Here is a 27,164-nt window from a genome sequence, read left to right on the forward strand (position 1 = left end):
TGCTCCAGGGACTGACAGATGCTGAGGAAGCCCTGATCCCTCCCACCACCCACTCACAAGGCCCTGCCTGCTTTAGGGAGGCTTCTTGGGGCCCCCCATCATTATCAGCATCCCTGGAAAATCCTGGGATTGGAGAGAGCTGGCTGGCTCTTGTTCTGCTCGGTGGGAGCTGAGGAGAAGGCAGCCGCCTGCAACATGGACATGGGGAGAGGAGGCTGCTCCTGCTTAACCCTCATCAGGAAGAGCGCGGGCACTGGGCTGAGGGGAGACGTTGAGGTGACCATCCACACAGGTGTGTTTGGGATACAATGATGGGTGAGGAGCAGGGGAAGTCCTTCTGCCTGTTTCTGGGCAGGAGAGAGTCTTGTCCAACTAGCTAAAGCAGATGCTCCTTGCTGTGGCCACAGGGACTGGCCTCGGGGCCCTCAAGGTCCTGCATGGAGCCCCCCACAGCTATGATTCCCTTCCCATATGATGACTGAACTCATGTGGAATTGATGTAGACACAGATTTACATTGGTTTCTAAAACAGTTCCCTCCCAACACACCATCACCAATGGGAACAAGCATGTCCAGTCCATCAGGCGCAGGGTGGGTGTTTCTGCTGGTTCCAGGGCCCGGAGGAGCTGGGGCCCAGGCCAAGAGGGGCCGAGGGTCAGCCGCCCTTCTGCCAGGCACAGACCCCAAGGGCAGAGCAGGGGCTGCCTGGGATGTGGCATTGGCTGTCTGGGAAGTGCCCTGGGAGTTGGGGGCTAGGTGTTCGCCAAAGGGAGACTTCCAGAGTCTATGAGTAAGATGAGGACTGCATCAGGAGAGGGACCGAGGCTGGAGAGGATGCTCTGCTCTTTCCCAGGTTGTCCTGTCCTCCCAATCTCTGCTGAACTGCCCTCACCCCATGGGCCAACTTCTGCCCCCCTTACCCCTAAGCCACCTCTTAGAGTCTCAGATCCCAGCATGGACAGGACCCGGCACCCACCCTTGTTCCCTCCTGGCCAACACCTTCTTCTCCATGGTCTGAGTTCTGATTCCTCCCCCAGGGCGCTTATTGGCTCAGGACCCCTGTGACTGCCAGGGCACTGGTCCCAGCACTGCCTGAGTGCAGAGCTGTGGTCACGGTGCTGGGGGCTGGCCCAGCAGCAGAGGCTGGTGGGGCAAAGCTGTCTGGTACACGGTGGCCTGGCCCCTTGGCCAAGTGACAAAGGGAGCCATGTTTGGGTCCTCTCTGGCCCCATCTGCCCACAGAACACAGCAGTCAGCCTGACAGATGCCCCTCTGCCCCGTCCCTTCTGCTCGATGTGGGCAATGTCGGAGGCCTGCTGTCTTCTGTGGCCTTTGGGAAGGAGAGTTTATCTTGGCAGGGCTTCCCCAGCTCAGTGCACTTCAGGCCCTCGGGGAAAATGTGGGGAGCAGAGTCACTGGTGGGTAATGTGGGCAGCTCCCGTGACTCCTCTACATTCAGGGCCATCCTCAGGAGATAAGGTAGCACTGCCCCTTTGCATCGTTTAGGAATGTTAGTGAGCCATGTTTGAAGGGAACACGGTCCATACTCTGGCGTGTGTGGGTGCCCAGCCACCTTCCTCACCTAAGGGTGAAAGTGACACCTTGGGGCTCCTGCTGGTTACCCCACTGGCTGTTGTCTATCCCACTGTCCCTGTCCTTGTCTTGGCTGAGCCATTCCTAGGAAGCAGAACTTGTGCTTCCTCCACCTCTGTGTCCCACCTGAGCCCTACAATCTGCCCCTAAATGGGCACAGTGGGGCTGACTGGGGGGCTCTGGTAGACTGAACATACATCCCCCGCCCAGTTCCTGTGCTGAAGCCCTAACCCCCAACGTGATGGTATTTGGAAATGGGGCCTTTGGGAGTTATTCAGGGTTAGAAGAGACCATGACGGTGGGGCCTTAATGATGGGATTAGGGCCCTGGTAAGAAGCAGAGACCCCAGAGCTCTCTCTCTCCCTGACACGAGGACACAGTGAGAAGGCGGCCATCTGCAAGCCAGAGAGAGAGCCCTCACCAGAACCTTGCCCACTGGGATGCTAACCTCGGACTTCCAGCCTCCAGACTGTGACAAATACATTTCTTTTTTTAATATGTGCCACCACCCCCAAGTCTATGGCACTTTGTCCTAGCAGCCCTATGTGACTAGGACAAAGTCCATAATCTCAAGAACTTCCTTCATGACTGGTATCTGGAAACCGTGCATCAGAGCCACGGGAAAGAAAGGCTTGGCCCTTTACAACTGTCAGCACACCTCCATCCCAAGTGCAGTGTATCACACATGAACCAGGAGAGCCTGGGACACAGTGAAAAGGAATCTGTAAATACCCATGATGTCATCACATCCACACTTGGGGAAGCCATGCAGCTTGCTCACAGCAGCTTCTGGGGGTGTGCTGAGGCTCTTGGTCAGCTTGGCCTCCCTGCTCACACACCCAGGTCACTCTCTGGGAACAAGTGCGGCTGGGGTGGCCCCTGGCAGGTTTGCCTCCAGAGACCCCTCCCTTCACCATTGGATGACAGATCCCCGAAGAAGCCATAGCCTCCTGGGAAACTCCATCTGACAACGTGAGCAAGGCTTGCCCCCGTTAGTGAACATGCTGTGCTTTCTGACAGCTATGAGGATGGACTTAATACAGGTGGCTGCCCTTTTGTAGCTCACTTTGATTCTAACTTCAGCGTTGCATGATGCCCTATGAATGGAATATACAATGTGTGTCTTTCACATCTGTCTTCTTTCACTTAGAATAATATTTCCAATGTCATCTACATTTTTAGTATGTATCATTACATCAAACCTTTTTGTTGCTGAATAATATTCCATTAATGGATATACTAAAATTTATCCATTTATCAGTTAAGAACGTTTGGGTTTTTTTCACTTTTTGGCTATTGTGAATAACACTTCTAAGAACATTTGTGTACAAGGTTTCCTGGGGATGTATGTTTCCATTTCTCATGGCTACATACCTAAGAGTGAAATTGATGGGCCATATGGAAACTCTATGTTTAACCATTTCAGAAGGTGCCAGACTGTTTCCAGTGTACACGAACCATTTTATATACCCACTAGCTGTGTGAGGGTCCCAGCGTCTCTCCATATTCTAGCCAACATTTATTATCAACTCTCTTTTTGATAAAGTCATCCTAGTGGTTCTGAAGTTGCATCTCATCGTAGTTTGCATTTGTGTTTCCCTGATGTTGAACCTCTTTCATGTACCTATTCGCCACTTGTATATCTTCTTTGGAGCAGTGTGTACTCAACATTTAGTAATTTTTAACTGGTTTGTGTTTTGTCATTGAGTTATAATAATTCTTTATATGTTCCAGATAAAAATGCTTTACAAGATATAATTTGCAGAAATATTCTCCCATTCTATGGGTTGTCCTTTACTTTCTTGATGGTACTCTTTGAAGCACAAAAGTTTTTACTTTGGATGAAGTCCAATTTATCTATTTTCTCGTTTGTTACTTATGGTTTTGATGTCATGTTTAAGAAACCATTAACTAGTCTTAGGTCATGAAATTTATTCCTATGCTTTTTCCTTTTTTAAAAACCATCTTAAACATTTTAAATTGTGCAATTTAGTAATGTTATGTATATTCACATCATTGTGAAATTTAGATCTTTAGAAATTTTTTATCTTTCACAACTGAAATTTTGTACACATTAAATACTAATTTCCCCCCTACTCCCACCCCCGGCCCTTGGCAATCACTACTTTATGTTTCTGTGATTTCGACTACCTTAAATACTTCATATGAAGAAAAGTATTTGTCCTTTTGTGATTGGCTTATTTCACTTAGCATAATGTTCTTGAGATTGATCCATGTTCTAGCATGTGACATGATTTCCTTCTTTCCGTAGGCTGCTTAGTCTTCCATTGTATGTATATACCATATTTTATCCTTTCATCCACCAATGGATATTTGGATTGGATCTCTTGGCTACTGTGAATAATGCTGTAATAGGGATTGTATGGAATTTGTAAATTGTTTTAGGTAATATGGACATTTTAACAATATTAAGTCTTCAAATCCACATGCATGGAGATGTCTTTTCATTTATTTATATACTCTTTGGTTTCTTGTAGCATTGTTGTTTTGTAATTTTTAGTGTCCAAGTTGTTTGCCTACTTGGTTAAGTTTATTTCTAAGTATTTTGTTCTTTTTCATGCTATTATAAATAAAATTGTGGGTTTTTTGTTTTTGTTTGTTTGTTTGTTTATTTGTTTGTTTTTGTAGTAGAGACAGGATTTCACTATGTTGGCCAGGCTGGTCTCAAACTCCTGGCCTCAAGTGATCCGCCTGCCTCAGCCTCCCAACATGTTGGGATTATAAGTGTAAGCCGCCGCACCTGGTCTGAAATTTTCTTCTTAATTTCCTTTCCATATTGGTCATTGCTAATGTATGGAACTGCAATGGATTTTTGTGTGTTAATTTTGCATTTTGTAACTTTGCGGAAATCATTTATTAGTTCTTACAGGTTTTTGGTGGAATTTTTAGGGTTTTCTACATATAAAACCATATAATCTGTAAATAGAAATAATTTTACTTCTTCCTTTCCAACTGGAATGCCTTTTATATATCTTTTCCTTGTCTAATTGCTCTGGCCCAGTACTATGTTGAATAGAAGTGGCAAGAGTGGGCATCCTTGACTTTCTCCTGTACTTTGAGGAATAGCTTTGTCTTCCACTAGTAAACATAATGTTAGTTGTGGGCATTTCATGTAAGGCCTTTATTATGTGGTAGTATTTTCCTTTTATTCCTAGTTTGTTGAGTGTTTTTAATGATGAAATGGTGTTGAATTTTGTTGAATGCTTTGTCTGAATCATGTGGTTTCTGTCTTTCATTATATTAATGTAGTGTATGACTTGATTGATTTTTGTATCTTCACTCATCCTTGCATTCCAAGTATAAATCCAACTTGGTCATGATGTATAATCTTTTTTTTCTTTGAGATAGAGTCTCACTCTGTCACCCACGCTGCAGTGCAGTGGTGCAATCTTGGCTCACTGCAACCTCTGCCTCCCAGGTTCAAGTGATTCTCCTGCCTCAGCCTCCTGAGTAACTGGGATTACAGGCACCTGCCACCACGCCTGGCTAATTTTTGTATTTTTAGTAGAGACGGGGTTTCACCATCTTGGCTAGGCTGGTTTTGAATTCCTGACCTCTTGGCTCTGACATGGCAACTTTGCTGACCAGTACAGGGTGTTCTTGTCCAGGAGTCCATGGACCCTCAGGCAATCTAGCAAAATTTGGAGTCTGTGATGGGCTTGGAAATTTCAGTGAAGATTTGGGAGGGTCCTAACCCCAGCTATTTAAGAGCCTCTGCTTTAGATGGTGTGAGGGACCCAACAACCACATTCTATATAGCTGTCCTGGGCATGCTTGGTCTTCCCAGCAATGAATTTTCTGTGGTGTGGTCTCAGAGCTCACTTCACTCCACCCTGAGACTCTTGTACAGTGAAGTGCAAGAACGTGGCCAGGCCAATTGTCAGCAGTCAGCTCCTGGCCTGCCTAACTCAATATAGAGCATGCGTCCACCATGTGCTACTCTGCTGCCCAGAGTCATTGGGCTCATGAGCCAGATATAAATGCTGAGTCTGGGGCCTGCGTGCCCGAAAGGTCCTTTCCTCTCAGTTGGCCCAGGGAGCATCACACAGGGCACTCTTCTCCTCAGTCTCTCTCGCATCTCTCTGGCAGACAGGTGGTCACGATCGTCAGTGCTGTGGGGCCCTATTATTCCAGAGTAAATGCTGGAGCCAGACTTACCCTGTGGAAATGCATGAGGACGTGGGCTGTGGTGATGGGCACCCTCAGTCAGGCACCAGCTGTCCCGCGTTCCTGGCTTCCACCTCTGGGGCAGCTCCCTGACATTCTCTGAAGTCTGTCCACTTCGTTTTCTGTTACATTTGCCCTTGTCAGGGGGAGCAGTGGGCTTTGGCCTGTTTACCTAAGCCCTCATGTGTGTGCTGCAGCCTGGCTTGGGACACATTTGGTCTCCATGTGAAGACCGAGATTGCAACTTTCTGCGCTTGGAGCCCAAAAGGACAGGTGGGGCCTGAGGGATGGATGCCCCCATCCCAGGACAAGGAACTTCCCCCAGGAGAGCTGCTCATGGCCCCCTTTAACTCCCAACTCCCATGGAGGGGCTGACAGGGTCTCCCTGCAAGCTGAGGCTCTGAGCACAGGGACACCTGGGGCCCCACATACCAGCCCCATGAGAAATAGGGCCAAAGAGCCTCATTCCCCCTGTGAGTGGCTGGTCACCCACACTTCAGGGCCTCATCCTGCACTGATCTGCACCTGACATGCTGACTCTTCCTTGGGCTTCATCCCCTGGAGTCGTCCCCTATTCCTGGCTCCCATGCTGGTGGCCCTGCCTTCTCCCCCAGACACCCAAGGACTCTCCAGGCCATACCTCAGTGACAGCAGCTTTGCCATCCCACTGGCCTCAATCCCAGAAAAACTTAAAGAGAGAAAGGCCCAGGATTTTAAAAGGGCTAAGACTAATGTTACAGAAAATGGACTGTGAGATAAGGAATTTTCACAAGTATTCTCCAATTTATACAGAGAATGAAACAGAAATTATGGAATTCAAAGTTGCAAAAAACAACACTAAGAAATAGTGGTTTAAGCGGATGATGCTTTCATGGATTCAGGGAAATGACTGCTATCCACAGAGTGTGCAGAGGAAGTGCCTGGTCCTGGTGGGTAGCATGGCTGTGGCTCATCCAAGAGAATGAGACAGGGCTGGGCAAGCCTTATATGTGGAATTCACCAGAGTGAAGCTTGGCCAGTGATGCAAGGGAAGGACCATGATGCTGAAGGTATTGACTACCAATTTTTGCCACCATCAACCCTGATTCAAAGCATTTGCTGAAGAACCAGAGCAGACTGACAGTGAGATTTTGGGCCCCCAGGCCAGTCATCCCTACAAAATGAAATATTTCTCTAAGAACAGGACAAGGAGTCACCATTTTCCCAAACCACAGACCATATCTTAATAGAACAACTTTTTAAAAAGTTTTTATTTTATTTTAAAGTTCCAGGATACATGTGCAGAATGTACAGTTTCATTACATAGGTATACATGGGCCATGGTGGTTTGTTGCACCTATCAACCCATCATCTAGGTTTTAAGCCCTGCCTGCATTAGGTATTTGTCCTAATGCTCTCCCTCCCCTTGACCCTGACCCCCTGACCCCCTGACCCCCTGACAGGCCCCGGTGTGTGATGTTCCCCTCCCTGTGTCTATGTCTTCTCATTGAATAGAACAACTTTTAAAAATGTGCAGCTGGAGCAGCCTTGAAGGGAATTGGTAAGCAGTGAGTGGAGAGTGGTGTGTTTCAGGGAGGATTTGGACTGTCTGGCTTGCAGGTGACCCTCTTGTCCCACAGAGGCAGTCTGCCAGTAACTCATCAGGAAGCCCAGGTAGTCTTCCTCAGGCACTTCCATCATTCCTGGGATGGCAGAGATAAAAAGGGACTGGAAGAGATGGGGGCAGAGAACAGCCCTCACTGACAGCACAGAGCCCCACCTCTCCACACAGTCTCTGTCTCCTCTCCTCCTCTGCCCACACGGTGACTCCCAGCCGCTAAGATTCCTGCTTTCAGCAATGCCCCTGATAACACACCAAATATCTGAGGAGTTCTAAAACACCAACTCTTCACTGCCCAATAGCACAATGAAGAAATTGAGGAAAATGTATATGTCCCTGAATGTTGCTAATGGTCTAAGGGCAAACTGCTACTTATTCTGCATTATGTACTTCTTAGTTAATTGGGGTTAGGATGTCATTTTTAATGAAATGATGTTAATAGTGTTTGTAAAATGAACGATGTGCAACCCCATGAAAAACTCTGTGCTTTTAGAAGGAGTAAAGGAAGCAAGGAGGAGTGATAAAAATTTTGATTGTTGAAGTGGCCTGGGGGCAGGTTGAACTTGTCCAAGACTGCTTCCCTGCAGGCCAGCCTCCTTAAATGCTTCATGAATGCTCTCCATCACTGGGCGTAAGGTCATCAAGGCTGAGTTCTAGTAGAAGAGACATTCTAGAGGTCTAGAATGTCTTATACAAACACACTTAGAGACACCTGTTCTAGTAGTCCACCATTGCCTCCACTCCTTAGGTCTTGAAGCGAAATCATATTCATTCATTCTACAAGTATCTACTCAAGATGTGATATTTGTCAGGTGAGTGATGAGCACAGTGGTTGATAGGCAGAGACAAACAATAATAAAAAAATGAGTAATAAAGGGTAATGAAGGCTGGGCATGGTGGCTCATGCTTGTAATCCCAGCACTTTGGGAGGCGGAGGCAGGTGGATCACCTGAGGTCAGGAGTTCAGGACCAGTCTGGCCAACATGGTGAAACCCTGTCTTTACTAAACATACAAAAATTAGCTGGGTGTGGTGGCCTCTGCTGAGCTCTCTTTTGTGTTTTAATGTAAGGTTAAGGAGCTCCTGGGCCTTTGGGGATTCTCAGCCAAACCAGGTCCCATCATCATGGCTTTCTCCCCTCTCTGCACGGGCAGACAGATAATCTGCTGCTGCACACAGGACACACAGAGCTCACCCCTGCTCACTCAGGCTCACCTCCTAGGATGCCTCCTAGGCAGGCAGAAGTCGAGGCTGGCTAGCCACCCTCACATTCTGGGACCAGGGACCTGCACCTGCCCTTGCTACACTCAACTGTCTCTCGGGCTGTCACCACTGCCCTCAGAAGAGCTCACACTGCTGGGGAGCCCAACTGTTTCTCAGGATCTTGCCAAGAGGTGGCAAGAGAGTTTCCCCTACTTACCTGCCCACTGGGAACAAAACTTTATTTACTTTTTATTGAGGTAAAACAGATTTAACAGAAACTACCATTTTCATCATTTTTGAGTACAGAGTTTATTGGCGTTAAGTTTATTCACATTGTTTTCTCACCATCACCGCCAATTCATCTCAAGAACTTTCTCATCATCCCAATATCAGACTCTGAACCCATTAAACACCCAGCTCCCTGCTCCCCTTTTTCCAAGTCCCTTAATTTGAAGTGCAATGAGGAGACTATTTTTGAAATTAGAATGTTCACTTTTTGTTGACTTTCTCCATGAAAACCTTCCCTTGATTTAGTCAGAAGTCCCCACACCCTGGTTTCTGGGACAGATTCCTCCCAGGCCTCAGGAGACTGTGCCCCATCTGCTGATGATGCCATAATGGGACCCCAACAGGAAAACCACGATATCTAATGTGCAAGGGCGGGGTTTTCAGGGGAGAGGAGGGGGTTTCCCGAGAATTCTGGAAGCATGTCTGGAACTAGAGCCTTGCGTGGGAAGTGCGGCATTTTTCTATCAGTGAAGCACTGACAGAAAAAATGGGGAGACACCTTCTGAGGGGGCATCACAGGCAGGGGAGAGGAGAGGCAGATAAGCACTGGCTGCACTTATACTCAGGCCACTGAGCAGCGGAAACAGTCCAGAGTGTGTGGTGCCACTTTCCCATTGGGATGTTGTGCCTTTTCTTACCAATTTTTGAGAACTTTTGGAATATTATGGATAATATTAAGGATAATAATCCCTTTCCCAGTTCTGGGCTGCTCCCTGTGGCCAGAGAAGGTGGCCTTGAAGGTGTTGGGTAAAGACCACCTGCCCAGCTCTCCAGGCTTGCTAATGCGGGGGAAGGAGATGCAGCCCAAGGATCCTGAAGCTCTTGCATCAAGTAGCTATACTCCACCCAGAGCTGCCGGCCACGGGTCCAGCGAAAGAAAACTGTCAGGACCACCACTGCTGCTGCCACCAACCCCTCCCCGGCAATAGAGGTGGAATAGAGATGACCTGCCCCCACCTGCTAAGCTTCCCTGCCTATCTCCTGAGGGATTCCTGGGCAACATGGATAAGAAGAACACCAGTAGAACATCAGAATCCAGGAGACTAAAACAGCTGCTTGGGAAGATAAAGAAGACATGGCAGGGCAGGCATGGTGGCTCACACCCGTAATCTGAGCACTTTGGGAAGCTGAGGCGGGCGGATCACGAGGTCGAGAGATCGAGACCATCCTGGCCAACACGGTGAAACCCCGTCTTTACTGAAAATACAAAAATTAGCTGGGCATGGTGGCTCGTGCCTGTAGTCCCAGCTACTCAGGAGGCTGAGGCAGGACAATGGCTTGAACTCGGGAGGTGGACGTTGCAGTGAGTGGAGATTGCACCACTGCACTCCAGCCTGGCGACAGAATGAGATTCCGCCTCAAAAAAGAAGAAGACATGGCAAACTGCAGTGCCACCCAGCCTGCCCCTGCTGTCTCCACACCTGCTGAGACTCCCTGCCCAGGCCACCTACACTTCACAGATCCCAGCTCCTCCTCCTACCTGTGACTTGGCCCACATGGCTGCTGGGCCCCTCACCCTGCCTGTCCCTCCACCTTTGCCCACACCAAGAATTGAGTAAAAATTGATATCCATAATTCCTAACTCTCCCCTGGGTCCTCCTGCTGACCTTGCCCCCATTTTGGGGGTTCCACCTAATGAGAAAGGAGGCTGCCCTCATTCAGCTGCAGCTTCAGCACCTCTGACCTCTCACCCCTGCCCCATACCTCCTAGCCCCGCATCTTTCTCCTTCCAGCTTCCCTTCAGAAGGGAGCCTCCTACACCCATATGTGTGTTTTCCTCTCCTCCTCTTTCCTCCCCAACTCCTCTTCCAGCACCTTCCACCGGGATCCCTGCTATCACTCATCAGCAGATGAATTCCACAGCAGCCATTTCCACCATCACAGCAAGGGCATCTGCCCACCTGAACTTGCAGCCTCCTTGAGCCCTCAGCTCTTTGCTACGGACATGACTACCACTACTAACACTGTGGTTTTCAAATCTTCACCAAGCTCCAGAGTGAGCACCCTCTTAATTTCCCAAATTCAGTGCACAGTAGAGGCACCTTGGAAAGACATCAGCTTACGTCTGCCTGGCTACATTCATATTCTCCAGGCCCACCCCTCAGCCCACACTTGGGGCCCCCTGATGGGCAGCAATGAAAAGCCTCTGTCCCCAGTGCCCCTGTTTTTCCAAGCCTTCCCATCGCGGCTCCTCCAGGCACCTCCAGTTTATGGAGCAGCGCCTCTGCAACATCCTCCTCCAGAACAGATTGTGCGATGGGGGATGGCACCACAACTGCTGCAACTGAACACAGTTAGGGTCCCCATTCAGAAAGAACACCCAAGGCCCACCTGGTACACACAGGTGGTATGATGGGGAACAAATAAGAAGCAAGTCTCCCTCCACATATGGTCCCCATGAATGGACATTGCTCCTGGAGGAAGGGGCTCAGTCCATTGAAGTTAAATTTAAGCTGCTCTCTCCTTATAAAAGCCAGAGGCCCCAAACCTCAAAGTGTGTGTGTGTGTGTGTGTGTGTGTGTGTGTGTGTGTGTGTGTGTGTGTTGGAGGAGGATGTGGGGCTGATGAGCCCAATCAGAACCACAGTGTATTTGAGGCACTCCCCTGTGGACAGAAGAAGAAGCCAGCATGTGTCATCATCAGCTGTGCCCTCCCCCGCTTGACTGTTCATCTGGCTGACCAAAGCCCCCAGCCAGGTCTCTATTCTTTGAACTGGCAGGATGCCCACCGCTATTTCCAGGTGCCCCTCTTCCCCTTGCCTGTTTACTTTGATGGGCTCTTCTCTCTCCTGATTGTAAATTAAAACCTTATTCTTTTTGCTCTGCCTCTGCTCATGTGTCTATATATTTTATAATATATATCTTACATATTTTAATTTTTAATTAAATATTATATATATTAATTATATGTAACCTTAAAACTAGATATAAAGAATGTAGGCATATAGATACCTTGCAACCATAAAACCTAAAGAAACTTGCAGATCAACAAATGCAGAGACCTCATAAAATTCAAATGACAATATTAATATAATGGAACAAAGGCAGAACAGTCACTCCCCTCCGCTGTGAGGAAGTGGCGCCCCCTGTCCACATGCAGACTCTCCTGAGACCCGCCTGTTGGCGGTGTGCTTTGCAGTAACTGGCTGCTTCCACCACTTGTCCCTATGTAAGTTACACAGAGGCTTCCTTTGCACATCCTGTAATGAAGCCTTTTGGCCTTCACTTGGTGAGAACACAATATTTCATATTAACTCCCTGTGCATTCTTTTTTCTTTAATATTTCTCTATAACAAAGAAAATGTCATGCCCTGGCACCAAAGAAATGTTAAATAGATAAAAATATGGAAGCTCTCTGTTAAGTCGATCATCCAAATGAACCAAAATATGTTGATCTTGATCGGTCACTCCACATCTCCAGCAATATGACCCTGTAGGCACCTGATCTCCTCCATTAACATTTTATTTACAAAATCAGGCTTCAGACCAAAGCTGGCTATGGTTTGCTGACCCCTGTTCTAGTAGAAGAGACATTCAACAACTAATTACACAAATAACAACCACTAAGTGCTATCAAGTAAAAGTACCCAATGCTTAAAACCCTCTAAGAGTAGAGATTGAACCTATGCAGGTAGATCAGATTGCCCTGAGGGAGTGGGTCTTAGATTAAATGTAGTTAATTAGTCAGGTGAGGGCAAGACTACTCCAGATGGAGGAAAACACCTGGGGAAAGGGTTGGGGCAGAAGACAGCCTGGCAAACCCAGTTTGAAAGAGGCTTATGGAGAGGGAGCAGGAAGAGTGAGGGCCAGCGCCTGTGAGCTCAGGCTGAAAACAGCAGGGAGGCCAGCCCCTGTGAGGTCCTGTGGGTCTTGGGAGGGAATTAGTTCTCTATTTAAATACAGAGACTGCGGCACAAGACAAGATGGAGTTGGAAGCCTCCTCTGTTCACCTCCAGACCCACCTTCTGTATCCTCTTTGTGTGCATTTTGGTTCTAGGCTTGCCCAGTGTCTTTACAAGTTTTCCTCCATGCAATTCCAAAATCTTCCAACAAAACAAAAAGGAAAGGAAATTTTGTCTGCACCTAGGCTATCCTATAGTGGAGGACCTAGAGGACTGGAGAGAGCTGTGTTCCTGATTCTCCTTTCCTCTCTGATGCCCCCTTATATGGAGTCTTAGCAAAGCTTTCTCTGTCCTCGATGTCAAAGGAGCCTTCAGAATATCGCCTGGGCTCCTCCTCCTGTGTTACCATGCCTTCTGGGTCTCGCCCTGCCCGCCTCTGGACTCTGTCCTCACTGCCTCAATTCCACTCTCTGCTTGGGGACACTTGCATAGCTTGCTGCCCCGTGAATGCTCCATGTCCCCTTTTCAGTTCCACGTTGTTCCTCTGCTGGAAGAGCATGTGCCTCGCCTGGCCCCTTTGTCTGGACACCTTCTTTTCTTTAAGAATCCACCCAGGAATGGCTCCTGATGCTTCCAGGTCTGCAGGAAGCCATCCCCGGCCCCTTCCTCACCCAGCCTGAGCGCTGTGCTCCCCTGCAGTGTCCACACAGTTCCCGGTGTGAATGACTGACATCCCAAACTACTGTTCACGTCAGCCTCCTGCACCGCACCCTGAGCTTGTGAGCTCTATGACAGCAAAGGGCTTATGTGAAGGGCGTTTGGCACTTTCCATGTGAAGTTTAACCCATTTACCTTGTTAATTCCATTTGTTCCCACCTCTTAGGTACCTGCATATTTCTATCCTTCAGATTTCCTAGCACTGGGCCTTATAGCAGCATTTCTTAAAATGGGATCCCCAGTCCAACAGCATCAGCATCACATGGGAATTTGCTGGAAATGCAACTTCTGGAGTCCTCCTTGGACCCCTGGGATCTAAAACTCTGGGGTTAGGTGCAGCGATCTGTGCTTTCATAACCCCTCCAGCTGACACTGAGGCCGGCTAACGTTTGAGAACCACGGCCTCCCAGGAAGTCACTGCTCATGAAATTGTTGATTCCCTGAGGACAGTAACTGGTTATTTTCAATCTGAAAAAGAAAAAGAGTAACTGAGGAAATGACAAAGAAAATTTTTACTTTAGAAAAAGAATTTTCTGACTTGATATTTCAAATACGTGACTTCCAAAGAAGGCCTAGTTTTGTACATTTAAAAACAAGGTTGATTCTGCCTGGCTCAGTCTACCCCACGTGTGGTTTTGCTGAAGGGCAGGTGTTTGGAAGAGATAACCTTACCAGGTGCCCTCCACTGCTCAAGTTCTCTGCTTCTAGGATATTCTATGTAGCATAAAATAAATATAAGCTAGAGAGGAGGGCATGGTTGCTAGGGGAGTAAAAAGATGGTTTCTGTTTTGCAGGATGAAAGTATTCATGGATGGATGGTGGTGTTGGTTGCATAAAAATGTGAATGTATTTAATGCCACCAATCTGTGCAGTTCAAGATGGTTAAAATGATCAATCTTATGTTATTTATGTTTTACCACATTTTGAAAATAAAAATAAAAAGATAAAGCTGGCACCTAAAAATGTCCAGGTAACAATAAATGTGGCAGAGTGAAGTACAGGACTACCCATTGTATTTAGAGCAGCCCAGCAAAGCAGAGGCCCCTAGAGAAATGGGGGATAAGAAAAGTGAAAGATTGTTATTTCCAAAATAACCACCTACAAAGTACAAAGTGGTCTTCCTAATGGGAAGAAGTGATTGTTCCTTGGCTCATTTTCTTTTTTTTCCTTTTTTTTTTTTTTTTAGTTTTCAGGGTTTTTGTTCAGTTTGAATTCATATATGGGAGGATGTCATAGTGTTTGCAGGCCTTTGGATTCTTGAGAACTTAATCAGGCCAAGCTGTTCATGAGGAGTGGGGTGCTCAAATTCATTCTTCCAACAAGGGGCTGTTGGGTACCACTATGGTGCCAGCCCCGTGCTGGCCACAGGTATGAAATGCCCAGTGAGGGCCACATCCTGGCTCACCTACCAGGCCACGGGCTGAGCTCCACAGCTGCCTGAGAAATTTGCTTTCAGGGGTAATTTGTAGAGATTGTAGCTGAGCTTTGGGTGACAACCTGAGGTGCGGTCAGACTTTATCATCACAACCAAAAGTCACATGCTGATGAGAGGCTCCAAACAACACCTGGAGCCCATGACCCAGCAACTTCCAGATGTTGAGTTGGGACAGGGAACAGGCTTGTCTGCTCCAAATGAATGCCCTGGCCAGAAAGAGAAAACCAGGGAGGCACTGTTGAAAGAGCGTGTTAAGGAGCAGTGAGCCCCCTTCCACCTCCACCAGGAAACGTCCCCAGGACAGACAGCTGCCGACCTCTTTCTGGAAGCGCTGGGCCTCAGAAGATTGCTGTTTCCTGCCTACTTGCTCCCAAGGCATATTCTTGATCAGAAAGGAGGGAAGAAGTGCGTAGGCATGGGGAGGAGGGGCAGGGAAGAAGTCACAGGAATGCCCACAGCAGAGGTCTGTGGAGATGCTGGGCTATCCCTGGTGGCAACACTCTTGGGGCTGGCGCTGGGTGAGGATGGCCTCCAAAGCACCCTATGCTGTGACTCCAGCCCCCAGGATCCTCCTCAGGGTACAGAGAAGGAGCTCAGGTGAGCTCTGGGTGGATGATACCATCTTTTCCCATTGAAATCACAGAATTTTACAACTAAAGAGAACTTCCAGATGATTTGAGTCAACCGCACTCTTTTGGGGGCTGGAAGCAGAGATGAAAAGATTTAGACAAAATCACACAGTTCAATGATTAACAATTCAGACTGTCAGGCCATCTGACCACAACTGAGGCCCCCGGATACTACTCTACTAAGTGTATTATACTGTGGTGTGTATGTAGGTGTGTGTGCACATGTGTGTGAATGTGTGTCAGGACTACATGTATATACATGCGTATTGTGTAAGGGTGTGAGTATGTGTGTATTTGGGCATCTGTACATAAGTGTATGTGTATAGGTGTGTTGTGTGCATACATGCTCATATGTGTAATGAGTTAGTGTGCATGTACCTATGTGTGTATTGAGCATGTGTGTAATTCTATGTGTTTGTGGGTGCACATATATGTGTATTTGTGTGTGCTTAGTGAGCGCTTCGCTGGCCATAATGGCTTGTTTTTCTGGCCAAGAGACTTGATTCTCCCTGATTCAGCCGTGAGTGTGCATTTCCCAGGGTCAGGGTGACTAACCAGGACATCCGGAGAACTTTCTTCTTCTCTGCCCCACCCATCCTGCCTACTCCATTCTTGGGTGTCAGAGGCTGAGGCTCTGGCCCCAGTGTGAGCCCCACAGGAGGTCTTCAGAGCCCTCAGGTTGCCTCACAGCCAGCCTCCATGAGCATCTTTCTGTTTTCCAAGAGGGTGAGCCAGGGCTGTTCCTGTCAATGACAAGATGCTGGGACCTGGATTCACGTGCAAGGAGAAACCAGGCACTGGGGGCTGAGTGTCCAGCTGCTGCTGGGCTGGGAGTCAGCAACCTCTGTGCTTCCAGGGCTCACCCTCCCTGGCAATGGGTGGTGCCCCTTGGCTTTGCGGAAATTTGAGGCAATGAAAGTTTTTATTTCCTCTGGCTGTATTTTCTAGACATATTTTAACGTAGCTATAATCTTACAAAACGATGAATTTTTTGTCCTGCTTTTAAAAAGATTTTAATTAGGTTAGAATATAACCAAGGCGGGTGGATCACCTGAGGTTGGGAGTTCAAGACCAGCCTGACCAACATGGAGAAACCCCATCTCTACTAAAAATACAAAATTAGCTGGGCATGGTGGCACATGCCTGTAATCCCAGTTACTCGGGAGGCTGAGGCAGGAGAATCATTTGAACCCAGAAGGCAGAGGTTGCAGTGAGCTGGGATCGTGCCATTGCACACCAGCCTGGGCACCAAGAGCCAAACCTCATCTCAAAAAAAGTAAATAAATAAATAAAAATGACTAATAAATACTTACTGAAAGTATAAGTATAAAAAACTTTAATTATGTTAATTATGAGATTTTAAAACTGTATTACTGGAGAAAGAGACCAAATCTCCTCATAATACTTTTTTTGTTAATTTATTTAATAATAAAGATGAACATAAACACCTGTGCAATTCAGTGTTTAAAGTTTGCCAAGGTATATGTATATATTTTTCCCAACGTTGATGCTGTGAGAAGCCCAAGCCATGGAGAGGCCCCAGGCAGGTGCTCTGGTCAACAGCCCAAGCTAAATGCCCAGCCAACACCAGCATCTGCAACCAGCCCTGTGCGTGAGGCTTTGCAGATGTCTAGTCTCGTCAAGCCCTGCAGATGTCTAGTCCCGTCAAGCCCTACAGATGTCTCCAGCACAGATAGAGCCTACAGATGTCTCCCCGCGAAACCACACAGCCAAGTCCAGGCGGAAAATGTGAAAGATGTTTCTACCAAGCCACTGAGTTTCTGGGTGGTTTGTTTTACAGTAATAGAGGAGAACCAGAATGGTCTGTTCCTGCACTCTCCAGTGGTCCCCTATGTTCAAACACTCTGCTTAGCAAGCTTCATCACCCAACACCTGGACCTAATCACTCTGCAGGGTCTCTCACTGCAGTCATTTCTCAGGGTTACTGACATGCTAGTCTCTGCTAAGATGCTCACCTCTTCACCTTCCCTTAGTGACTGGCTGCTCTGGTTGATATTGTCTTTCCCTTCCTCCCGGAAACCCTCCCTCATTACCTCCCTTTCCCTAACAGTTCCAGCTCCTTGAGGTAAGGGCCTGTCTCTTCCACCATGGTGATAACCTGCATATGTTGGGTGCTGCATAAATTCTAACTGTATCAAATCTAGGACCCAACCTGCACAGTTAAGGGATTTACCTTGGGAATCTTCCCAATCTTCTTGCTAACATGGGCTACTTTTATTATAAAATTTCACAGTTGCCATTTTTGTCATTTTATGTCAAAAAGATGGTTTTAGCAACGACTAGGGAAGGGCACATAAGAGTCCAGCGTGGCACATGATCCAGTTCAGATGAACTTAAATGGAGCCTGCTGGAGGCTTTGTGGGATGAGACCCCATTGTCCTCCTAGTTTTCTTCCTGAAAGATTATGGAGTCTATTCACTAAACACTTCTAACTATCTTTTATATTTTTTTTCAGTGGGAACATGAGGCTTTTGAAAAAACACAGATGATGAGACTATGTGCTCTTTTAGCCAATACAATGTGGGAAGTTTTTCTATTGGTTAAAATAATTCAGGTGCTTACAGGTAGCTTGGTGTGAATGTGGCCACAGACTCTCAGTTTGGGTCCTCTTATCTGTCTTCCACCTTCCAAGGCCAGCACACCATTCCTGAAGCCCAGCCTCACACCCTGGAGTTTATCCCTCATCCCTTGAGGACCCAAAGACAAACAGCCTTGCCAACGCACTAGTGCCTTGTCTCACCTCAACTGCAAAGTGGCCATGGGGTCTTCACCAGCAGCTGGGGAAGATGCTCCAGAAACTGGCCCTGATAGCTTTGCCCTGTAACTTGGCTGGGTTGCAAACATTGTGGGTGAGATAAACATGATCTCTAAGGCTCTTTTTCAGTATTGAAATTACATGTATGTCTGATCACTTTAAAGAAAAATGTGAATTTTTTCTTTATTAAAACAATTTTCCTTTGTCCTTATAGATCGTTTGTCATATTTTGCTTCAATCAAGAATTGAGTCAGACACAACCACTGGGCAGCTGACATGAGATCTGCACATTTGTTACTAGAAGAGCCAGAAGGCCACCCACTGTTCCTCCTAGTGAACCACTGGTAGGGCAGGTATGGCTTAGAGCCCAGTTTCATGCTTGACTACTGATATGGTTTGGCTGTGTTCCACCCAAATCTCATCTTGAATTTTAACTCCCACAATTCCCACATGTTGTGGGAGGAACCTGATGGGAGGTAATTGAATCATGGGGGCAGGTCTTTCCCATGCTGTTCTCATAATAGTGAATAAGTCTCACGAGATCTGATGGTTTTATAAGGGAAACCCCTTTCGCTTGACTCTCATTGTCTTCTCTTTTCTGCTGCCATGTGAGACATGCCTTTCACCTTCTGTCATGATTGTGAGGCCTCCCCAACCACGTGGAACTGTGAGTCCATTAAATCTCTTTCTTTTATAAATTGCCCAGTCTTGGATATGTCTTTATCAGCAGCGTGAAAACAGACTAATACAACTACACAAAAAAGTCAGTGCATCAAAACAGAAAGAAGCCCCACGAGTACATTTGAAATTACAGTTTATTTAAACAGGTAAAATTGTATATATCCTTTTAAAATGAAAATACAAAGTAAGTGAATCAATAATACAAACATGTTTATAGCAGTAATTAAAATACAGGTAACATTTACCAGTGTGAAAATATCAGAATTCCAATCACACTTGGATCTTCAATGATTGAAGTGTGCATTCCACACAGCAGGGGCTGGTAGATTGAAGATAAATTCCTCCTTTGGATGTGCCATCCTCAGTCAAGTTCTTCCTCATCACCAACCATCAGCTCACACAGTGGGGTAGCTGGCTGCTGTGGCAATTCCACAGCTGTTCCTCCGGTCTTTGGCCATCTTTATGTAGCCATCCATGCCCCAGTTTTTACCCCAGCTGAAAGGAGAGCAGGTTTTCCATTTCAGAGGAAGGATAAAGCACACTGGGTTATTAACTTAAACAGTGTGCCAGAAGCCACAGTGTGCCAGAAGCCACAGGCTTAACATAAAGAATCAGGAGATGCTGATGTTCCTGTTCATCCCTTGTAAATTCTTGAGTCAAAACCTGCATATCGCTTCAATCCCAGACCCAAAACTGTGACCTTTCACAGAACTGCAAAATCAGAAACAGAAAAAGGATAGGATGTCTTTCCAGCTGATATGCTTCAGAATTAAGAAAATGTTCAGAATTTAGACATGCAATGGGACAAATACCATATTAATATCCCCAGCATGCTTGTGACAGTATCTTGACGTTACAATCAATCATTAATATTCTGTGTTCTGCCTAAGGGTGAAAAAGACTTCTGGGATTTCAGAAATGTGATTAAGGGCTTGTGGTATGTAAATACTGATTGCAAAAAAGGATTCCCTTTTGAATTTCAACTATAAGTCTTTCTGGCAATTTATACCTGTTCTTCACCAGCCAATATTTATTGTTATCTGAGTCTGCTCCTTCATAGCTGTAGCCAACTACCAGCATAGCATGATCCAGGCCTTCAGGGTCACAGCGTGGCTCAAAATAAATTCCTGAGAGAATAAAATGAAGGCTGGGTGAGAAGTTCCCAAGGACACCTGACAGTAACCCACCCTGTCTCCCACAGGGAGGGAGGCATCTCTAAAATCAGTGAAATGACACACAGTCCAGATAGGGCTTAACAAGATCTATTGTTATCAAGGCTAGGGAATTAGGCTCTCATCCACAACTAGCAGAAATAGAAATTAGCATAAGTCCCTCATAAAAAAACTTTCCTACAGGCATAAAAGACCATTCATTTTAAGCTTGTAATTCTACTCTAGAATATCAATCTTAAAAATAGCACAGAACACCAAAATCCTTGACTCAAAAGGCTCTTTTCAGATTTAATCACAGAAGTAAAAATCTTTGGAAAAATTCTAAGAATACAACAATTAGTCAATATTTAAGTAAATTAAACTATACTATAAATAACATAGCTATTTATAAAAAGTTATGAAGTACAGGTATTCATGGAGATACGCTCAATGTAATATCAAATAGAAGCATTGGGTATGATTATTGCGTGTACAGAGTCCATCATGCTGGTGTGTCATGGTGGTTTACTTTTTTTCTGCAATAATTTCTATGAAGAAAGATGCTTACCTTTTTTATAGAACTGGAAGGAGACATGGCTTGCACCAACAGCAACAGAGATGGGCCCCACAGTTGCCACTGCCTTCGCCAAGTCCTTCTCCCGTGAAGGGATGTCCACAAAGCCAGTGTCATTAGCAGCAGAATACTTGGGATTGTACCTACAGGTTTTAACCTTTTAAAGGTGAAGAGGGAGGCGACTTGATTACTACCATCCTTCTCCTGGGGAATGTGAGTCAGAACCACAACACTCAGCAGTTTGCAGCATAGAATTTCCAAGTCAACACTGTTACAAATCATCCAAGGAAGTGAAATGTTATTATTAATAGTTAATTTGAAACTGAAAATTAGCTCAGTTCTCTTCAGCGAGACCCCTAGGTTTACTTTCCGTAAGACATTTTTCACAATGGAGACATCTGTATTATATGTAGAATGGTTTGTATATTCTCCGTGTCACATAGAAGCAAGAACAGCTGCATGTTAACCATGTAATCACAGAACTGTGCAAAGGCTATAATTTATAATGACAACACTGTCACTTTGCAGATAGAGATTCCACCATCTAAAACGTGAATTCTGAAAAGTGTCTGTTATCTCTGAAAGTGTCCCAGTAAAACCAAGCAGGAATGGCAGCAAGAAAAGGAGCTCCATTTACCTTTCCTTCATATGGATAGGATGCCTCAGAGTCCAGGCCTCCGTTCTCCTGAACATACCGGAAGGGATTATCCATGAAGCCACCATTGCAGCCCTCATTGCCTTGAGGCCCAGAGCAGTCTACCAGATTCTGCTCATTCAGTGAGATAAGTTTGCCTGTTTTCCAGAACATCTGCCCTTCCAGAGCACCAGTTGCACTAAAAGCCCAACAAGAGCCACACTGACCCTGAAAAGAGAATAAAAAAGCTGATATCCACACACACACACACACACACACACACACACACAGCAAGACTTTTAACAACATGAGTATTTAGCTCACGTAGCTAAATACTCCTTTAAAAAGTGAACTGCATGTTGCTGCACAGTCTACCATAGCACAAATGTCAATTGCTTCTTGGCTTTCCTGGGGTGATGGGAGGTCTGAACCTAACACAGTCTCACCTGATCCTTCATAGGAGTCATGTAGCCTTTCTCTCTCCAGTCCACAGATGTGGGGATCTCAAGAAGCAGGCGTTCCTGGAACTGTTTCCCCTTCCTGTGCTTCTGGTGTTGAAAACCATTCATCACCTGCCTGAATTCTTCATTGGTCTTCAAAGAAAAGTAAATAAAATGTTAAGAAGCAAGAGATTAATTTGGTAAAGAACTGAGGAGGAGGGAAGCACAGAGCTGGGCAGCCCACAGCATACTTACCATGTCTCCAAAGGCGTTCATGGCCATTGTGAAGCTGTGTTTCCCTTGGCTGTATTCCTGATTGTGCTGCTCAATCATCTTCACGTCCTTCTCTCACACTGCTCTCCTCCATCCTTCTCCATTCTAAAGGCAAACATGTAACTGATGCTCTTCATTTCTTTTTTTTTTTTGAGACGGAGTCTCACTCTGTCGCCCAGGCTGGAGTGCAGTGGCACGATCTCAGCTCACTGCAAGCTCTGCCTCCCGGGTTCATGCCATTCTCCTGCCTCAGTCTCCCAAGTAGCTGGAACTACAGGCGCCTGCCACCATGCTAACTTTTTGTATTTTTTTTTTAGTAGAGACGGGGTTTCACCGTGTTAGCCAGGATGGTCTCAATCTCCTGACTTTGTGATCTGCCTGCCTCGGCCTCCCAAAGTGCTGGTATCACAGGCGTGAGCCACCGTGCCCCGCCGATGCTATTTATTTCTAATTAAAACCCAACATATGCTAACCAAGTGAATCTTCAGACAGAGATGTAAGAGTAACCATGGCCAGGGAAGGCTTGACACTTCTAGGAGATGTTTTCCAAGCTGAGACACAACAAGGGTGTATGCCCATATCGTGCTCATAATCAGTGCTATTAAGTTATTGCGTTAGGTTATTGGTAGGAGCCAGCCTCTAGAAGCCACTCTCTGGCCATATGATCCCAATAGCAATGCCCATCTCTCTGGGGTTCCCCTGGACAGTTTCAGATGCCACCAACCATGTCATATAATCTCTTGTGCTTTGCCTTCCACTTGGTCCATTGTGCGTCTAAACTGTGGTCACGTGTTAGAGCAGCTGAGGCAATTCCCAGGAAAAAGGCAGCCAGGAGGAGTGAAGGATTCATGTTTCAAAAATCTAGGAAGGGAAAAGAAATGAGGATCTGATTAGACCGATCCTAAAAAGCCATTTTACTACCCCCTGAGAAACTAGGGCCACCATGGTAGAATAAAAATATTTAAATTATTCTTCCAAGCATTTACCTAAGGACTGTGGAAGAGGCCAAGGATGTGGCTGGAGAAAAACAGGGCAAGTGGAGGTATTGGAGGGACCCACCAAAATGAAAAGCAGCCTGTCCAGAGCTGTAGGAGTTGAAACAGTTTTCTGGGATGATGATGACAGGCTATGAAAAGGACAGGAAGGTACCTGATGGGCGAGAAGCTTAAGGCAACAACCGGGAAACTAGGAAACCGTTGGCCCAGGTTTTGTACCAATTGTGCTGAGGTCATCCAGGCAAAACCTCAAGAATGAAGACATCTAATTTCAAGAAGGGACAAAGGGATCCCCAATAATTGGGAAGTCACATCACACCTTGTTCTTGGCTAATACACAACAGAAGGTGAAGTATGTTTTCCAAATGCCCCTTGTAATGAAACAGTTATTGAATGTCTTCCCAGGACAAACTGGGAAGGAGAGCACCCATCTACCGCCGTTCCCGCAGTCCTGCAGTCCTGCAGGTGGGCCAGTCCTGCCAACACTCCAGCTCCCCTCACAGAGCATAAACTGAATCAGGTGGCCGAACCACCGGAAGCCAGAGTCCCCAGTGTCCGCGCCCACACAGGGGTGGGTAGGCAGCTTCCCAGGCTTTGGGCTGGGGACCCAGGCCAGGTCTCCTGGCTCTTGCTCCCGCCCTCCGCTCATGCTCACTGTGGCCCCAGGACGTGGGCGATGTTGCAGGGAGCAAGGGGCGCCTCTGCCTGATTTGCCGGGGTCGAGCCTCCCTGTCCCACCCCCACCGGCCCTGGGAATACTGCGGCCTGGCACTCCGGAAAATCCCTCACTCACAGAGCTGAAGGACTTGCTGGGTCCCTGGTGGCCCCTGTCCAATCTTAGCCCACTGGGGTCTCAGCTGCTGTAGCCACAGGTGGACAGGCACAGTGGGCAGGTGCTGGGTCCAGGAGTCTCCTGTCGCCTAAGGCCGCCCGAAAGCAGCTAATTGACCTCTAAAGCCCCTAGACCCCCCTGCCCCCTTGCCGCCCAGGCAGGCCCGCCCCCACCACTTGCCCGCTCTGCGATTGGCTGCGCCAGCCGCTGGGCGGGGCCTTCCGGCGTGCTGACTCCTGGCATGTGGAGCAGCTCAGTCCCCTTGCCTCAGTGGAACCGGGGGAGGGGAGCTGGGGGCTACGAAGAGAAGGGTCGGAGGTCTCCCTGGAGGGTTCGGATCAACTAAGTACCCTATTTAATGCCCTGGGCGGGTGGTTTATGAAAAGAAATTTACGGGAGCCCTGTGTGCATCTTCAGCCTAACCCTGCTTTTCCCTTAGGCCTAGAATTTTTGATTAAAATCTCCTGCAGGGCAGAGAGCCAGAGGACTCTAATCCAGTGGTTCCTGTTTAGTCCACAGCAAAGGTGCGGCCGGTTGGAAGAACGCACGGCCTGCAAGCAGAAGCCTTATCTCCCAATTAAGGGTGTAGAAGAATCTGGGCGTGTTGCTGGTGTCTCATGCCTGTAATCCCAGCACTTTGGGAGGCTGAGGCAGGCAGATCACTTGAGCCCAGTAATTCGAGAACAGCGTGGGCACCCTGGCGAAACCCCTTCTCTACTAAAAACACAAAAATTAGCCGAGTGTGGTGGCCCGCGCCTGTGGTCCCAGCTAGTCGGGAGGCTGAGGCACCAGCATCGCCCAGCCCGGAAGGTTGAGGCTATAGTGAGCCGAGATCACACCACTGCACTCCAGCCTGGGCGAGAGGAGACCCTGTCTCAAAGACAAAAAAAACAACTGGTAGGAAAACGCACCCTCAAAACACATGATAAGATGGTCGAGACCAGACCCTAGGAGGGTGGGGATTGGCTGGGTGGGTATCCAGAGACCATGGGCGTTTCATAATGCATTGTTTCCCGTCTCCTCCACTCAGCGACTCTTCTTCCCCTGAAGTCTTGCATTAAGTAAGTGAATGAATCAATCATCAAGTTAATGAAGCTCTGACTTTGTACTTGTTGTCCTTTGCTTGGTACAGTTGGGCACTGCCTTAGAAACAACCTCCAGGTAATTTTCCCAACTGCTTTTGTGAGGCCCAGTTTTCCATTTTAAAATCTAAGATTACCTCAGTAATCTTGCTTTTACAGCAAATGGGCATGGAGCCTGACAGATATATTTAAACTAAGTTATGGACAAGCTGCCTGGTGCATTAGGTAGCATAGGAGCTAACCTTGTGGGACATCTCCCCATATTCGTAATATTCACCCCTACATCTATAATCAATAAATGCTTGTTTGGAGGCCATAGAAACTCTTCCTGAGATCTGACCTGTGTCTTCTGCTATCTGCCTGATTTCTCGCCACAGAACAGGAAAACACTGTGTAGGAGATATTGTGAATAGAAATATGAATATAGGCCGGGCATGGTGGCTCACACCTGTAATCCCAGCATTTTGGGAGGCCAAGGCGGGTGGATCACCTGAGGTCAGGAGTTTGAGACCAGCCTGGCCAACATGGCGAAACCCCATCTCTAATATAATGTTTTTCTTTGTACAAATATGTTTCTTTCCATGGATTAAGCTAAGAAGTATTGTCCCTCTGAAATCAATATAAGAAATATTATCAGTGACATTTCTTTCTTTTGTGCACAAAGAAAAAAAGAGTTTTATTAACTTAAGGACAACTAAACTCTCTTACCTAACTCCTCAAATGTCACCATTAAAAAGGAATTTGAGATACAAACTAGATATAGTTGCATCTGACTTGTAGGTCATAGGAAATGAAAGGTCAATGGAAGCATAATCTTTGAGGGAGAAGAATGCAAGGGAGAAAATGGAAAAGGTATTCATTTAATATTTATTTGCTGATTTTTGTATGATATGGTTCCAGAAATGACAAATAACGTGCGGAATTGAAAGACACAAAACTTTAAAATATATATTATGGATATATCAAAGCATGATAGAGAGGGGGAATCTCTAAGTTTATCTAGGACATTTATCCATAATTCTACCAAAGAAGCGTATCTTAATTCATCGACTTTCACCTTGTCCCTCCTAAACTCCTATTACTTCTCTATTATTTAAATAAGACTTTGTATAATTAACTTCCTCAAACTATAAAAATATTTATTAGATAAACCTATGTATTAGTTAGACAAGTAAAACAAGATAAACTTAGGTTCTGACATTCTGATTGAAATGCAACACCTAAATGCAGTACATGATACAAAACAGGCACCCAATAAGAGAAGTCATGGTCAATCATCACTATCATCATCATCATCACCATCATTATTTGCTAGATATTAATTTAGTTGCAAAGACTAATATGACATGGTCTCTCTCCTCAAATGGAGAGAATAAAGTAGCCAGTGTTTGCCATGTTGAAGGCAATGAGAAACATATTGCCATAGAAATGTGAAAAGCTAAACGATGTCATCTCATTCAGATTTTTCTCAAATTCATTTCTATCAGTCTTCTTGATAGAAATCTGAATGAGATGATATCTGGAAAAGCTGAAGCTGAAAAAAAAAGTATGCCAGGAAAGGCACATGAATAAGGAAAGGAATTATAGAGGAAGGAAGGAAAAGGATTTTCAAAACTATAAGGGTATTTAAAACTGCAGTCTGTACAGGAGACTCAAGACAGCTCAGGACTGTGCTAATGCAGATCACTTTACAAGTGGCATGACATGTGTTTGCAGAACTAACAAGGACAAGGTCAAGGAAGGTGGGATACGCCATGTAAGGCACTTGGGTTTCGTGTATATGTGATGGTAAAGCACAGAGGGATTTGAAGGAATATTTTACCCCATTCAAAACCTAAAACTGAAGCAAAAGGAGAATTTGATGTAAGAGTCAGATTCCAATTATTTGGGATATGCAGGTGTCCTTCACTTCTTCATGCATATTTTCCAGTTTTTCAAAATGGTCCTTTAGTCTCCCTCATTTCTTAATTATTTCGTAATGCTGCTTAGTTTCTCTGAAATCCTGAGAATATGAACTACACAGAATATGATCCCAGCCTTGAACTATGTTCCTAAATATGTTTTGATTTGTTTCAATGTTAGCAAGTTTACTTTCTCAAATAGATTGTAATCTCTCTGAGGGTGACATCATTTTGCAGGTAAATCAATGGACAACAGAGCTCACTGGGGCCTCAGAACTCTTGTAGTCCTGTTCATTTATTTCATAGCAAACCAGGGAAAAGAGGCTTAAATG

General features: G+C 46.2%; 3 pseudogenes, besides 1 other annotated feature; 2 read left to right on the top strand and 1 right to left on the bottom strand.

Annotated features, from left to right (window-relative positions):
* Nucleotides 5,554-6,054: an enhancer, noted in NCBI's record as "H3K4me1 hESC enhancer chr10:52451348-52451848 (GRCh37/hg19 assembly coordinates)". NCBI's record gives its function as "activates a minimal SCP1, AML or CMV promoter by ChIP-STARR-seq in primed H9 embryonic stem cells {active_cell/tissue: H9 hESC(primed)}" and the evidence as "EXISTENCE:reporter gene assay evidence [ECO:0000049][PMID:30033119]".
* Nucleotides 9,559-10,036, top strand: LOC100421009 (POM121 transmembrane nucleoporin pseudogene; annotated as a pseudogene).
* Nucleotides 10,233-11,115, top strand: NPAP1P1 (nuclear pore associated protein 1 pseudogene 1; annotated as a pseudogene).
* CTSLP4 (cathepsin L pseudogene 4) lies at nucleotides 18,624-22,884 on the bottom strand (annotated as a pseudogene).

The sequence above is a fragment of the Homo sapiens genome, chromosome 10, assembly GCF_000001405.40.
Source record: "Homo sapiens chromosome 10, GRCh38.p14 Primary Assembly".
Lineage (NCBI taxonomy): Eukaryota > Metazoa > Chordata > Mammalia > Primates > Hominidae > Homo > Homo sapiens.